The following is a 13,126-nucleotide window of genomic DNA, read 5'->3' as shown; positions in this document are numbered from 1 at the left end:
CAGCTTTATTGTTACCTGGACATTTTTAGGTTTCAGCTTTATCTTTTTAGTTTTTTTTTTTTTTTTAAAGAAAACTGTGGTAATATAGAGAAACACAAAATTTACTACTTTACCCAACTTGAACTGCACAGATCAGTGGCATTCAATACATTCATATTGTTGTGCCATCATCACCATGCCCTCCAGAAACTTTCTTCATCTTGCAAAACTGAAATCATCTTTTAATTCATTCATTCGTTTATTTTGAGATGGAGTCTCGCTCAGTCGCCCAGGCTGGAGTGCAATGGAGCAATCTCATTTCACTGCAACCTCTGCCTCCCGGGTTCAAGCAATTCTCCTGCCTCAGTCTCCTGAGTAGCTGGGATTACAGGCGCCCCCTCACCACGCCCAGCTAATTTTTTTGTATTTTTAGTAGAGACAAGGTTTCACCATGTTGGCCAGGCTGGTCTCGAACTCCTGACCTCAAGTGATCTGCCTATCTTGGCTTCCCAAAGTGCTAGGATTACAGGTGTGACCCGCCACGCCCGCCTCCATCTTTTTATTCTTTTTTTTTTTAGACGTAATTTTTGCGCTTGTTGCCCAGGCTGGAGTGCAGTGGTGCGATCTCAGCTCACTGCAACCTCTGCCTCCTGGGTTCAAGTGATTCTCCTGCCTCAGCCTCCTAAGTAGCTGGAATTTCAGGCACACACCACCATGCCTGGCTAATTTTTTTGTATTTTTAGCACAGACAGGGTTTCACCATTTTGCCCAGGCTGGTCTTGAACTCCTGACCTCAGGTGATCTGCCCACCTCCGCCTCCCAAAGTGCTGGGATTACAGGCATGAACCACTGCACCTGGCCCATCTTTTTACTCTTAATGAAAGCTTCCACTTCTAAGCTCAGATCTGCGCACTTCCCTCTTGGTTTTACAGCCCGGCTATTATCTAGCCATTGTTTATGCAAGAACAGCCACGCTGGGCCCCTCACTTTGGAGTGACTTTTCTGTGGTCACTCTATCAGGGCTTAGTAAGACCAGTGTGGACTCTGAACAGCGACAGGGCCAAATATAGTTTTATGATTTTTGTGAATCCTGTAGTTGTCACCCTAACAGCTTTTCTACAAAATAGACCAGCAAAATTTCCACCAAGTTCTGATTCCTTTTAGAAGGTGTAGGGGTTGAGATTTTGGAACCCATTGCAACTCCCACAAATGCCTTCAAGCCCACACCGTACTGGCTTTGGGTCCCTGGGATACTTTTGTCCACACTGGAGACCTCAGGCACCCCAAGGTGGCCCAAGTTTGGACGTGGTACCCAGAGGCTGTTACACTATAGTAAAGAGGTGACGAGGAACATGGCAACTGAGTGCATTTCACAGCAACTCTAAGAGACAGGGTCCCATGATTGGCTTTTCTTTCTGACTCCTAGAATTTGCACCTTTTGATTCTCACTATGGACACAGGAGGTAAGCTATGGTCTTGTTTCCTCCCACCTGCAGGGGAGAGAGCCAGCTGCATACAGTGGGCAGTGGCCAGTTTCAGCCTGACCAGAGCTCCTGGTACAGAAGCTCCTGGTACAGACTCCAAACTGCCCCCTGAAGAGTGCCCCAGGGCATTTCCCAAGATGGGGCAGTGAGTTGAGTGATCCTTAAGCTCTTGACCTTTGGGTTGCAATGATTCCTGACTGTGGTCCCAACATTTCAGGAGCCCGGGGACCCCACAATCATATGAACAGGTGCCTGTCCTAGGACTTGCATAAAACAAAAGCACTGGCTGGGTATTGTGGCTCATGCCTGTAATCCTCTCACTTCAGGAGGCAGAGGTGGGAGGATGACTTGAGGCCAGAAGTTTGAGACCAGCCTGGGCAACATAGTGAGATCATCTCCTTAAAAAAAAAAAAAAAAAATTAGCCAGGCACGGTGGTGTGCCCTTGCAGGCCTAGCTACTCAGGAGGTTGAGTTGGAAGGACTGCTGGAGCTCTGGACTTTGAAGCAACAGTGAGCTATGATCATGCCACCGCACCACAGCCTGGGTCACAGAAGCCAAGCCCTCTCTCTCAAAAAAAGTATTAAGACTTTTGCAGTAACTCAAATGTGTCTCCCCAGCATCCTCCCTCACCTTTCTTCTACTAACAGAACCCTAGTCTTGGGGAGAACTGCTTCTCCCCCAACAGCTCATTGGGTGATGAGGCCAATCCTAGTAACTCTGTCTTTTCCAAATTTGCACAGGGATAGCTATGTGACACAAGCTAATCGAATCAGAGTCCCACTCTGGGATTTTACATATAGATGCTGCAAGAGACAAACCCCTTCTCTCTGGTTTTTAGCTTACCTGCCGCTATAGGAAGCAGTCTTTTGAAGCAGGAGAGAGTGAAGCCAACACTCAGGAAGGAGCTGAGACAAGAAAAGGAGTTTCCGCTCCTTAAGGCGACCACAGTTTCCCTTTCAGTCTCATCCTTTGTAGACACACCTATGTCTAGTTTTAATTTTATTCATCAGGACTTCTTTTCTCATTATGAAAGTTAATCATGTTTATTGTGGACAACTTGCTTGAAACATAAATGAACTATAAATGTAAGAAAGGCACGAAGGTCTTTTTGCTGTAGGTTTTCTCTTCCTCCTGGTGCCATCCCCATCATTTTTGTGTAGAAGTCGCAAAGCTTCCTCTGTTCCCTGTTGCCAAAACTAAAAGAGTCAGTTTGGTTTTTTGGTTCACCCGAGAAAAATCTAAGGGGCCTGTTTTATTTACAATGGGAAGAAATGTGAAAATTATCTGAACTCTTTTCACTTTCCCACACCATTCCTAATTTGAGTAATAATCGGCATCTCAATAACCCTGAGAGTTGAGGTGTAATGATTTTCTAGGTTTTGGACTGGGTTGTCCTGCTATGTGGGGTGACAACAGTAAAACCACAACAAGTAAAAAGAAATCCTTTTGAATTAAAGATCAAAAAAACTAATGCAACGAGCAACAGTTTATTTATAAAAAAAGAAAAAAACAAACAACTTTTTAACGACATTTTATAGATTAAGTAAAAATACCAGTATTAATATATATGTATATACATAGTGCATATATATATATACATATGATATAACATTAACATTACATGCTTCTCAGGACAGAAGAATTAGGACATGTTCCCTCCTATCAATTTAAAACTCGATCACAATTTAAAATCATGGAAGAAAACTTGCTTCCTTTATTTTCTGCTTTTAGACTTCAAGTACAGGAAGTTATGAAACCAGGATCTAAATGTGGAAACCATCTGCTATGCACCAATTATAAGGGACTGCCACAAATGATGAGTCAGGGGTCTTCTGAATTCTTACATAGGTCTCTGTAACCCTACAACTGTGTCAACCTTCTACCTGAGATGAGAGGGAATGATGAAGCATGACAGTGTGTAGGTTTCATGTGGACGTTCACATTGACATTGGAACAAAAGCAAACGGAAAAATGTCTTCCTAGAGCAACAACACTGATCATAAAATCACCCTGGAGGAGGATTCCCTTCTCCCCTTTCCTTGCCAAACAAAACAGAAAAACTGTCAGAAAACAATACAAAACAAAACTCAGGGTGAAGCACCTCTGGCGATGATCAGCATACAGCAAGGGACAGAGAGGTAGCGTTTCCTTGGTGACAGCTCCTGGCTGACTCCGATGATTTCAAACACACCCTCTTCTGCAAAAGGCACTCACATATTGTCTGTTTATAAATCATACAGTGGGATTCCATACATGGGAGTTTCTCCTACAAATATAAAAGAGATAAGCTGAGGAAATGGTATAACAAAGAAAAGCGTATAAGAAATACACATTTTGGATAAATATGCACTTTTCTTTTTTAAAGGACAATCAATATAGTAGTTAAAAAAAATGTCATTGAAAAGTTAGGAATTCCAGCAAAATTATCAGTAAGAAGCAAGGTACTGGAGGATGAGAGATGGAGTCCAAAACACTGAGAGGAGGTACACTAGCTTTTCAAGCGGCCAAAGTAAAAGATCTGTTCTGCTCTTAAACTGCAATGACCATCCACAGACAACGGAATGAGACGGGGAGGGAGGTAGCGGCAGAGAAACAGGTCAAGCCGGAGGGAGGAGTGGCATCCCCCTGGCTGTGGGTGCAGGAAGAAACACCCTCAGCATCTCCAAAGGGAAGGATGGGCTACATCACCCCCTTGCTTCTGCAGTCCAAACAGACCCTGCCCAAGCCAGAGGCTGCCCTCACCGGGATACAACAGAGCTAATGGAATTGTAAGAGGTGCCGCTGTTGCAGCTCGAGGCATAGGCCTCCTGGCCATTGCCATCCAGGTTGATTTTGAACACAGAGGATGCCTTCAGCAAAAAGTCTGCGGCATCCCGGCGACCCAGCTCCCTCAGTTTGGACATGAGGGTGCCCACTGTGCTCTCAGGGTAGGTGGTCCATTCCCGCAGCAGGGCGTGGAGGGGGCTGGGGAGGAAATCCTTGGGAGCCCCGTTACTGGTGTTGTACTTTGCCACGAGGTCAGGGAGGCCTAAGTTCATGGCGAGAAGGCACCAGTCCTTCCCCAGGGGGTCGGGCGGGTCCAGCAGGCGACTCAGTTTCCTCCGAGTGAGGAGGTTCAGGTCTGATGCATGGATGTCCATGCCGAGGCTGGCCTGTGAGTAGACGTCGTGACACCCGAAGCACATGATGCTGCTGAAGCTTTCCTTGTACCCCCCCATGGTGTTGGTCAGTGAGGTTTCCTTCAGAGTCTGTGCCCGGAAGAAGTCCCGTGGCTGGTAGATCATGACGGGCTCATGGTGCTCCCGCAGCTGCTGGGGGCTCAGGTAATGCTTCACGGTCAGGAGCCCTGGCAGCGTGGTGGCCATGACGTTCTCAATGGTGCTGCACACCGAGTCCAGCAGCAGGCAGCACTTGATCTTCTCCGTCTCCAGGCCGCGGACCTGGACCTCAATGCCCTGGCCGTGGTTGACCAGCAGCACCAGCAGCTCGGCCCCACGGTTGGCCAGCTTGCAGCCATTCACCCACAGGCGGATGTCCGCGTCGCCCTCTGTGCTTTGCTGGTGGATCCACCGGCACAGGTTCACCTGGACCTTGTGAAAGATGCCACATGGGAAGGGGGTGAGGTGTTCCACGGGCACGATGCGCACGCCACCATACACCATCACCTCGTCCTCCTCATCAGCCCAGGAGCGGTGCAGGTTGTCTGTCTTGATCAGGGCTGGGACGTCCACCATGGTCCCGCTGCTCAGGTCCCGGGCGCAGATGTCCATGGCATCGAGGATCTGCAGCAGCTCCTCCACGTCGCTGTCGGGCACCAGGCGCTGGATGTCCTCCACGGTGTAGCGGCCCCGGTAGTGGTGCAGCGCCCGTGGGGTCTCCACGGACAGCAACTTCCCCAGGACGTTTGTGCAGAGCCAGCGGGGGTCCAGGAGCAGCACGTCCTGAACTGTTTCACTTTGCATGATGTTGATCTGCGGGGGGACAACAGAAAGTCACGCTTAGGGACAGAGCCCTGGCCAGGTGCACCAGCCACTTAGAGCACTAAAGGGCCTGATGCCGGCAACAGAGGCTGAGCAGATGCTCTAAGGAGTGACCCAAGGCCATTCCACGTGGATGCGTCTCAAAAACCAAACACCGAGTGGAGAAAAGCAGCTTGAAAATGTCAGAATAGAGATTCTGAAAAACAACTCCCCTGAAGTCTTCAAAAAGGCCAGCGAAATGAAAGAAGAAAAAAAAATGGGAGATGGCAACCAAATGCAATGAGTGATTTTAGACTGGATTCTGAATCCCAAAATAAGTACATAAATAAAAATAGCTTTAAAAGAAATTATTGGGACCAGTGGCAAACCCTTGTATGAGGATGATATATTCAATCATAGTACTATATTAATGTTATGTTTCTGGAATCATCAATTATATTGGGTTATGTGGGAAAATATCCTTCTCCTTAGGAGATATAGGCTAAATTATTTAGGGAAGAAATGTCATCATGTCTGCAAAATAAATAAGTAAATAAATAGAAAGGAAAGGAATCGAGCAAATGTAGCAAAATGTCAACAACTGATCAGCTTAAATGTAGTAGGCTGGGCACCGTGACTCATGCCTGTAATCCCAGCACTTTGGGAGGCCGAGGCGGGTGGATCACTTGAGGTCAGGAGTTTGAGACCAGCCTGGCCAACATGGTAAAACCCTGTCTCTTCTAAAAATACAAAATTTAGTTGGGTGTGATGGCTTGTGTCTGTAGGCTGAGGCAGAATCACTTGAACCCAGGAGGCGGAGGCTGCAGTGAGCCGAGATTGTGCCACTGCACTCCAGCCTTGGCAACAGAGTGAGACTCTATCTCAAAAAAAAAAAAAAAAAAATTAATTAATTAATTAAAAAAATAAATAAATGTAGCCTATATGAGAGTTCATGGTACTATCCTTGCAACTTCTCTAAAGGCTTGAGAACATTTTCAAAAAAGAGTCAGAACATTCTATTATTATACCATTATGTGAATGTTTAACACACACACATAGAAAAGGCCTGAAAGGATATGCTGCCATGATAATAGTTGGCCTCCGAGAAGGGGAGAGAGGAGTGAGACCAGAGATGATGGCCCAAGGGGACTTTAGCTTTTTGGTTGTGTTTATTTCTTAAAAAAATAAAAAGAAAGGAAAAAAAAGTGACAAAAAACAGAAGGAACTTTCCCTTTATGGAAGAGTTCTGCTTCCTTTCTTGGAGAGTGGCCATCGCCCTGGACTCCCTCACTTGGAGGCTCTGACCCCACCGGTGACCACACAGTAATTTCCTGCCCACAGTCTGGCTTAAACCTGAAAGATGCCCCCTGTCTAAGAGTCTATTCAGAATTGAACCTAGGTTGAAAATTCCTGGAGGGCAGAGCCAATATTGATCTAGTTCCTGATACAGCATTTGCTGGAATACCATTTGCAGTTTGGTCCTAAACACTGCTCATCGCCTCAGGCTCAGGAAAGACGAAACTGTCCCATAGTGGAGGAGAACAGGGAGCTAAGACAGTCAGCTAAACGTAGTGTGGGACCCTGGGCCAGAAAACAGAGTCAGAAGGGCCACTGGGGAGTTCTGAAGATCTGCAAATTAGATACGGAAGGCAGGTCTGGAGGAGGCCCGGGGCCAATCAAAGTCGGGCCACACAATGTAGTTCCTGCTGCCTAATTACCCTCCTTCTTTACATCTTCATTTACTTACTAAACTCTCAAGGGCAAGCAGGGATGTAATGACAAATAAAGGAGACTATATGATATGATCTAGAAAGTTGCTGGTCTACTACTAGAAAGCAAGGGACTCCTGTGCCAAAGGAGTTTAGAATTAGAATTGACACATTTTTTACATCCAGCAGTATCTTGTCATCTAAGATGTGGTCCTTCACCTGTGTTCTTCCTTGGATTCAATCACTTTAAAGTATTCCTGGATGAGTTGGCAGATTCTCTGGCCATTTAACTGGGAGTTTAAAGGCTGATGAAATTACTGCCCGGCGACTCCAGTTTTCAAGGTCACTGGCTTGTGGATTCAGGTTTAGTTTCAAGAAATTTGTATGACTCATACAAACTGGCTATAGGGCCAGACCTGGCACCTGAGATTGGGGAGGTAAGCATCTGGCTTTTAATAATCTCAGAGCTGCTTTTAGTTGCAATATTCAGAACCGCTCTTCTTGGCCCACACTAGTTCATGTAGGCTCCCAATTTCACATGGTGGAGAAACACGAAGGCACTGCCCCCGTTCCTGGGACAGGCATATGATGCCATTAGAACAGGGTTTCCAAACCGCGCCCTGGTGCTCAATGTCACAGAACCAGAGCAAAGCCTCCCATTCTCAATCATTTCTGCTGGGCATTGCTTGCTAGAGTTTTTTAATGTGCATCTTTAATTATGATTACTCTGTGTATCTGTGCACCAGAGTTCTCTGTCTTTGTATCTCCAGACATTGCCTCCACAAGGACACCTCACTGCCTTTTCTCAACTGTTTTCCCACCCAGGAGATCTGTGTGGAGCTGATGACTCCACGCTGATACAAAGAAGCCATCCTGAAGGCTGCCAGGAGTAGCAGATTAAGTTCCTGGTGCCCAGGGGGAGTGAAGAGAGACCCAGTCACCCAGGGCAGTGGGCACTGCACTCCCAAACTAACAGACTCTGGAAATAAAAGCAAAACACGACAAGACAAAATGACAGCTCCTAAGGTGAGCCGAGAACTGCAGTTCAGAGCGTCACTTGAGGCTGTGTTTGTCACACGTGTGGAAATGTTGTAGGTTAGCTGGACCATTTCCACACTGCTTCCCCAGGCTCACACCACTTCCAAGAGCTGGAATTTGGGACAGGCTGAGTCCCTGGCACCTCTCACGGCCCCCTGCCTGGGCTCCCAGGGGCTCACCTCGCCTGTGCTGTGGAGCTGCTGAGCAATGCGCCTGAGGTCCTCCTCGCTGGCCAGGGGGTTCAGCTGGTCCTGCACGTCGTACACAAACTGCTGCAGCGACATCAGCTGGTTGGGTCCATTGAGCTTCCTCCAGGAAGGCAGCGTGGAGATGATTTTCTCACACAGGTGAGTCATGGGAGGACAGACCTAGAGGGGGCAGGGCCAGACAGGTTAACTCACCTGCAGCTGTGGGTGCCCTGAGCAGAGCCACAGTGGAAAGGACACCTTTCATTCAGGCGCCTTGCAGGTGATTTGATGAACGAGTGGGTTTTTTTGTTGTTGTTGACGTTTTTTTTTCTTTTTTTAGACTGGGTCTCGCTATTGCCCAGGCTGGTCTCAAACCCTTGGGCTCAAGTAATCCTCTTGTCTCAGTCTCCTGAGTAGCTCCGACTACAAGTACACACCACTGTGTCTGGCTAGTTTGTGTTTTTTGGGTTGAGTACTGGGGCAGTTGTCTTTTAGACTTGCTTTTAAGCCTCATCTATTGCTCAAATATAAAGTTTTATAAAGGCTCTTTAGTTCATGTTAAATAGATTTTGAGTCTTCTAGGAACGTTTTTGGAATTGTGGACTCAGTCACTCAATCAACTAATGTTCACCAACTCCTAATGTTTCACTCCCTCACTTTTTCCTCCCTCCCTCCTTTCTTCCCTCGCTCTCTCTCTCGTGACTGTTTCACTCAGGCAATGATCACTTTATGAACAGAGGAAAAGAGAATGAGTATCATCATCAATATTAGAGTGAGTGTTTACCAGTAAATTAGGCATTCGTGGGGACTGTTGTTGAAATATTGTTTCCAATTAGACCCATTCTTGGTATGTAGGCTGAAGTGGATTTTTAACCTTTTAACTTGGTTAATTAGATCAGCATATGTTACAGACTCACGTAATCCACATACCTCTGAATTAGAAACCACATAAGCCACAGGCTACACCGTGCCATTAATTCCGCACTCCCCTCTCAAATTCTTTTGTGTCAGCTAAATTCCACTCTGCATTCAAAAACAAAATTCTCAGGGGTGAGTGCAGTTGATGTGGTGGGCTCCACCTGCCTGAGCTCAGGAGTTTAGGGGTTGGGCGGGGGGTGTCTGAGAAGCAGCAGATCATGCCAGAGCCCAGCTCAAAAATCTCCAGGGACACTCCCTCCTGCCTCAGGAATGCAGCCTCAATCCAGACCTGGTGGGGAAGCACAGGGGCCCTCAGAGACCACTGTTAGTTCCCAGATCACCGCCCCTGGTTTCTGTGACAGATTCCTCCCAGGCCTCACCGGACTACCCCCTATCTTCTGATGATGCCACAGTGGGACCCCAACGAGGATATCTGGTGTGAAGGGCAGGGTTTTCTGGAGACAGGAAAGGGTTTCCCGAGAATTCTGGAAGCACATCTAGAACCAGAATCTGGTGCGGGAAGCACAGCATTTTCTTATTAGCAAAGCAGTTAAAAAAAAAAAAAAAAAATACACCCAGAGGCAGCTTCAAAGGTAAGAGAGGGAGACAGGCATCTGCCCGCATTTGTCCTCAGGCCTCGGCAGCAGGAAGACTCCAGAGTGAATGCCACCACTTCTCCACTGGGACGCTCGCCCTTTTCTTACCAATTCCGGAGAGCTTTTTGAACATTACGGTGTGACCATTTATCTGTCCAAAGCATTGAGAATGCTTTTTCCCAGCCTATTTCACCTTTCAACTTTGTTTACTTAATTTGTTTGCTAGAAAAAAATTTTAAAAATTTTTACATTTTCAAACAGGTATATTTTCTTTTAAAATTTCTAGGGTTTTAGATCTTGGTTTAACAGGTTCCCTCAGTCCCTAGTTATTTTGAAAATACACTCTCCACAATTTCTATTCAAGGTATTTATTGTTTCATGTTTTTACTTAAAAGCTTTAATCCATTTATTTTTGGACTTTGTAGGGTGTAGGAATCCAACTTTATTTCCTTCCAGACAAATAGCCAGTTGTGCCAGGTTCATTTATTAAATAATCTTTACCCCATTAAATTCAAATGACATATTTATTTTCCATTATATTTCTAAAGATATTATGATTTACTTCTATACCCTCTAAGCTTTTCCTCCTATTTAACTGTATTGATTATCAGGGGCTTTATAATAGGTTTAATGAATTTTTCCATGGAAATTTTAAGATAAAAATCCCAATCCCCTCAACCCATTCAGATGCTAACTGAAATTGTATTACATTTATATAACTAGGGAAAAATAAAATAGTCATATCTTGCAACCCAAGAATACAGTCTCATTCCCTTTGTTCATTTATTCTTTTCTGTCTTTCAAAAAAGTTTGTGACTGTTTTTCTACTTTTCTGAATTTTCTAAATATTCCACAATAAGTCACTTTTGAATTTTTTGGTTTTTTCCCAAAATTGGCCAGGCATGGTGGCTCACACCTGTAATCTCAGCACTTTGGGAGGCTGAGGTGGGAGGAGCACCTGAGCCTAGGAGTTCGAGACCAGCCTGGGCAACATAGTAAGACCCTGTCTCTACCAAAAAATCAAAAAAATTAGCCAGACATGGTGGTGCGTGCCTATAGTCCTAGCTACTTGGGAGGCTGAGATGGACAGATTGCTTGAGCCCTGGAGTTCAAGGTTACGGTGAGCTATGATCACACCACTGTACTCCAGCCTGGATGACAGTGTGAGATCCTGTCTCTGAAAAAATAAAATAAATAAATAAAATATTGTTAAAGAAACCAATAAATCGGTAAGAATTTCATAAAATTGAAGTGGTCCACCTTGCCCATAATAACCCTTCAGCTCCCATCATCTCCTTGTTTCTCTATTCTTCCTTTCTTTTCCCAGGGCACTAGGATAAAGACATGTCCAGGCAGACACCTCTTACTGGGTCCTACTATGAAGCAGTTCCCTGAAACCAGAGGCAAACCAGGAAGGAAGTACAAAGGGGTCCAGGCTCTTTCCATGGTGTACTTACCGAAACAATCTGGCTTCGTATTTCTTGCAGATGATTTCGAAGTACCTTCATGTCCTTTGACCCAGAAGCCCCAGCATCCAGAACAAACAGCTTATTTGAAATGTGAAGATCATTTCCAAACCTAAGGGAAGAGCAGCAGCCTCCTCAGCAGTGAGTCAATGTCCCCAGGCCTTTTAATGGAGGGGCCAGGCTCCTACTGGCTCAAGAGGCTGGTAGGAGGGAAGGAAAGTTCTGGTGTCCTTGCAAAGGCCCCTCCCCATCCCTGCTGTTGGTGGGCTCTGCCTCATCACAGTGGGTGCAGAGACTTGGGGAAACTGGCATATAGTCTGAGTCATAGGAGCGGGACCTTCAGGTTTGCATGAAGCAGCAGGAGCACAGCATGGAAAGATGTCAGCTTCTCCCGAGGCAGGAAAGGTGAGGCCTAATGCTCGCACCTTACAAGTGAGGACAAGAGATACTGTGGAAAGTGGAGGGACTAAGAATAGAGGTGTGAATGCAAAAGCTACATCACTGACCTAAAAATATTAATAGAAGCCCCATTTTTATATCTGGCAACAGATATAGTGTCTCAAGACAATAGATAAATGTCTCAAGTTGATAATGCAAGATCAGAGATACTAGCATATTATAGAAAGCTGCAGGTTCAAACTGTTTTGATAGACTCTGAGTAAAAACATATATTTTACATCATAATCCTGTACATACCCATACTCATCAGTGAAACAAACGTTTTACAAAATAATACTTGACATCTGATCTATCCTATCCTGTCCTGTCCTTTCCTGTCCTATCCTATCCCATTCCATTCCATCCCATTTTAAAAAGAATTGGCCACGACTTCCTAAATGAATTTTAAGACTCACTAGTAGGTTGCAACTTATATTGTAAGACATACTGATTAGTGTTTCTGAACACTGAATACTGAGTACTGAAATCTAAACAGCTAAAAGAAGTCACCTCCGGGCAGTGTTGCTGGGAGGTAGAAAGAAGGGGGTTGCTTTCATCACGTGCTCTTCATTTGTATTTGATTTACTATGTGGATTCATTGTTTTAATAAAAATGAAAAATAAAGGTTGTGCATCCCTAATCCAGAAATCTGAAATGTTCCAAAATCCAAAAACCTTTTGGGCAAAGACAAGACATGCAAAGGAAATGGTTATTAGAGCATTTCAGATTTAGAATTTTTGAACTAGGATGTTCAACTGCTATGTATATGTACATATATTAAAATCCAAACAAATAAGAAATCAGAAACACTTCTAAAGCCGATCATTTCCAATAAGGGATACAAGACCTGTACAAGAAAAGAGTTGACCAAGAAAGAAAGACCTTTAAAACCTTTCTCTGGTTCATGAGACTTCCTTTGTACTTTTCACACCTCTGCTTCAGTTCTCAGGGAGAGGAGGCTACCCGTGAGCTGGAGACTAAGTGGCTGCCCCTCACCTGTTCCTAATCTCTTTCAGCAACGATGTGTCTTTGTCATATCCAAACTCGCCTCCAGCCGGTCGAGGAACATTCATGATGTCAGCGTGGGTGGCCACCAGGACAACTTGGAGTGGGTTCTTCAGCTTGCCACCGAAGGCTGGGGGCAGAGAGGGAACTGCTTCAGGGGGTGGGTCCTCCTACCTGGCTGCCTCTCCTGCCCAGGTGAGGGCGGTGTGTTGGCCTCATGCCCAGGCCGACTCTCCAGGTACAAGTGCAACATGCCACAGAGATGAAGGCCCCACGCCTGCTGTGCACTGTGACCCTAGAAGGCCCCAGCATGGCCAACGACAGGATAAGCCTATCTCCTAGGCC

The 13,126-nt window shown here is 45.6% G+C and overlaps 1 protein-coding gene across 7 annotated transcripts in view, besides 2 other annotated features; it reads right to left on the bottom strand.

Moving 5' to 3' along the window:
• The window catches only part of DAPK1 (death associated protein kinase 1), a 211,407-nt gene continuing 201,213 nt past the window's right edge, over window positions 2,933-13,126 (bottom strand). For all 7 annotated transcript variants that reach the window (NM_001288731.2, XM_047422887.1, XM_047422886.1 and 4 more), the window contains 4 exons: window positions 12,773-12,911; window positions 11,330-11,450; window positions 8,350-8,538; window positions 2,933-5,435 (listed from right to left, as the gene is read on the bottom strand). In NM_001288731.2, the coding sequence (NP_001275660.1) occupies window positions 4,203-5,435; window positions 8,350-8,538; window positions 11,330-11,450; window positions 12,773-12,911 (1,682 nt within the window). In that variant the 3' untranslated portion in view covers window positions 2,933-4,202. The remainder of the gene's footprint in view (window positions 5,436-8,349; window positions 8,539-11,329; window positions 11,451-12,772; window positions 12,912-13,126) is intronic.
• Window positions 7,830-9,029: an enhancer, noted in NCBI's record as "CDK7 strongly-dependent group 2 enhancer chr9:90317453-90318652 (GRCh37/hg19 assembly coordinates)". NCBI's record gives its function as "activates an origin of replication core promoter dependent on BRD2, BRD4, P300/CBP, MED14 and CDK7 cofactors, with strong dependence on CDK7, by STARR-seq in HCT116 cells {active_cell/tissue: HCT116}" and the evidence as "EXISTENCE:reporter gene assay evidence [ECO:0000049][PMID:35650434]".
• Window positions 10,839-12,038: an enhancer, noted in NCBI's record as "MED14-independent group 3 enhancer chr9:90314444-90315643 (GRCh37/hg19 assembly coordinates)". NCBI's record gives its function as "activates an origin of replication core promoter dependent on BRD2, BRD4, P300/CBP and CDK7 cofactors, and independent of MED14, by STARR-seq in HCT116 cells {active_cell/tissue: HCT116}" and the evidence as "EXISTENCE:reporter gene assay evidence [ECO:0000049][PMID:35650434]".

Source organism: Homo sapiens, chromosome 9 (genome assembly GCF_000001405.40).
Source record: "Homo sapiens chromosome 9, GRCh38.p14 Primary Assembly".
NCBI classification, from domain to species: domain Eukaryota; kingdom Metazoa; phylum Chordata; class Mammalia; order Primates; family Hominidae; genus Homo; species Homo sapiens.
The sequence above is the reverse complement of the archived record's forward strand: the minus strand, read 5'-3'. Positions and strand labels throughout refer to the sequence as shown.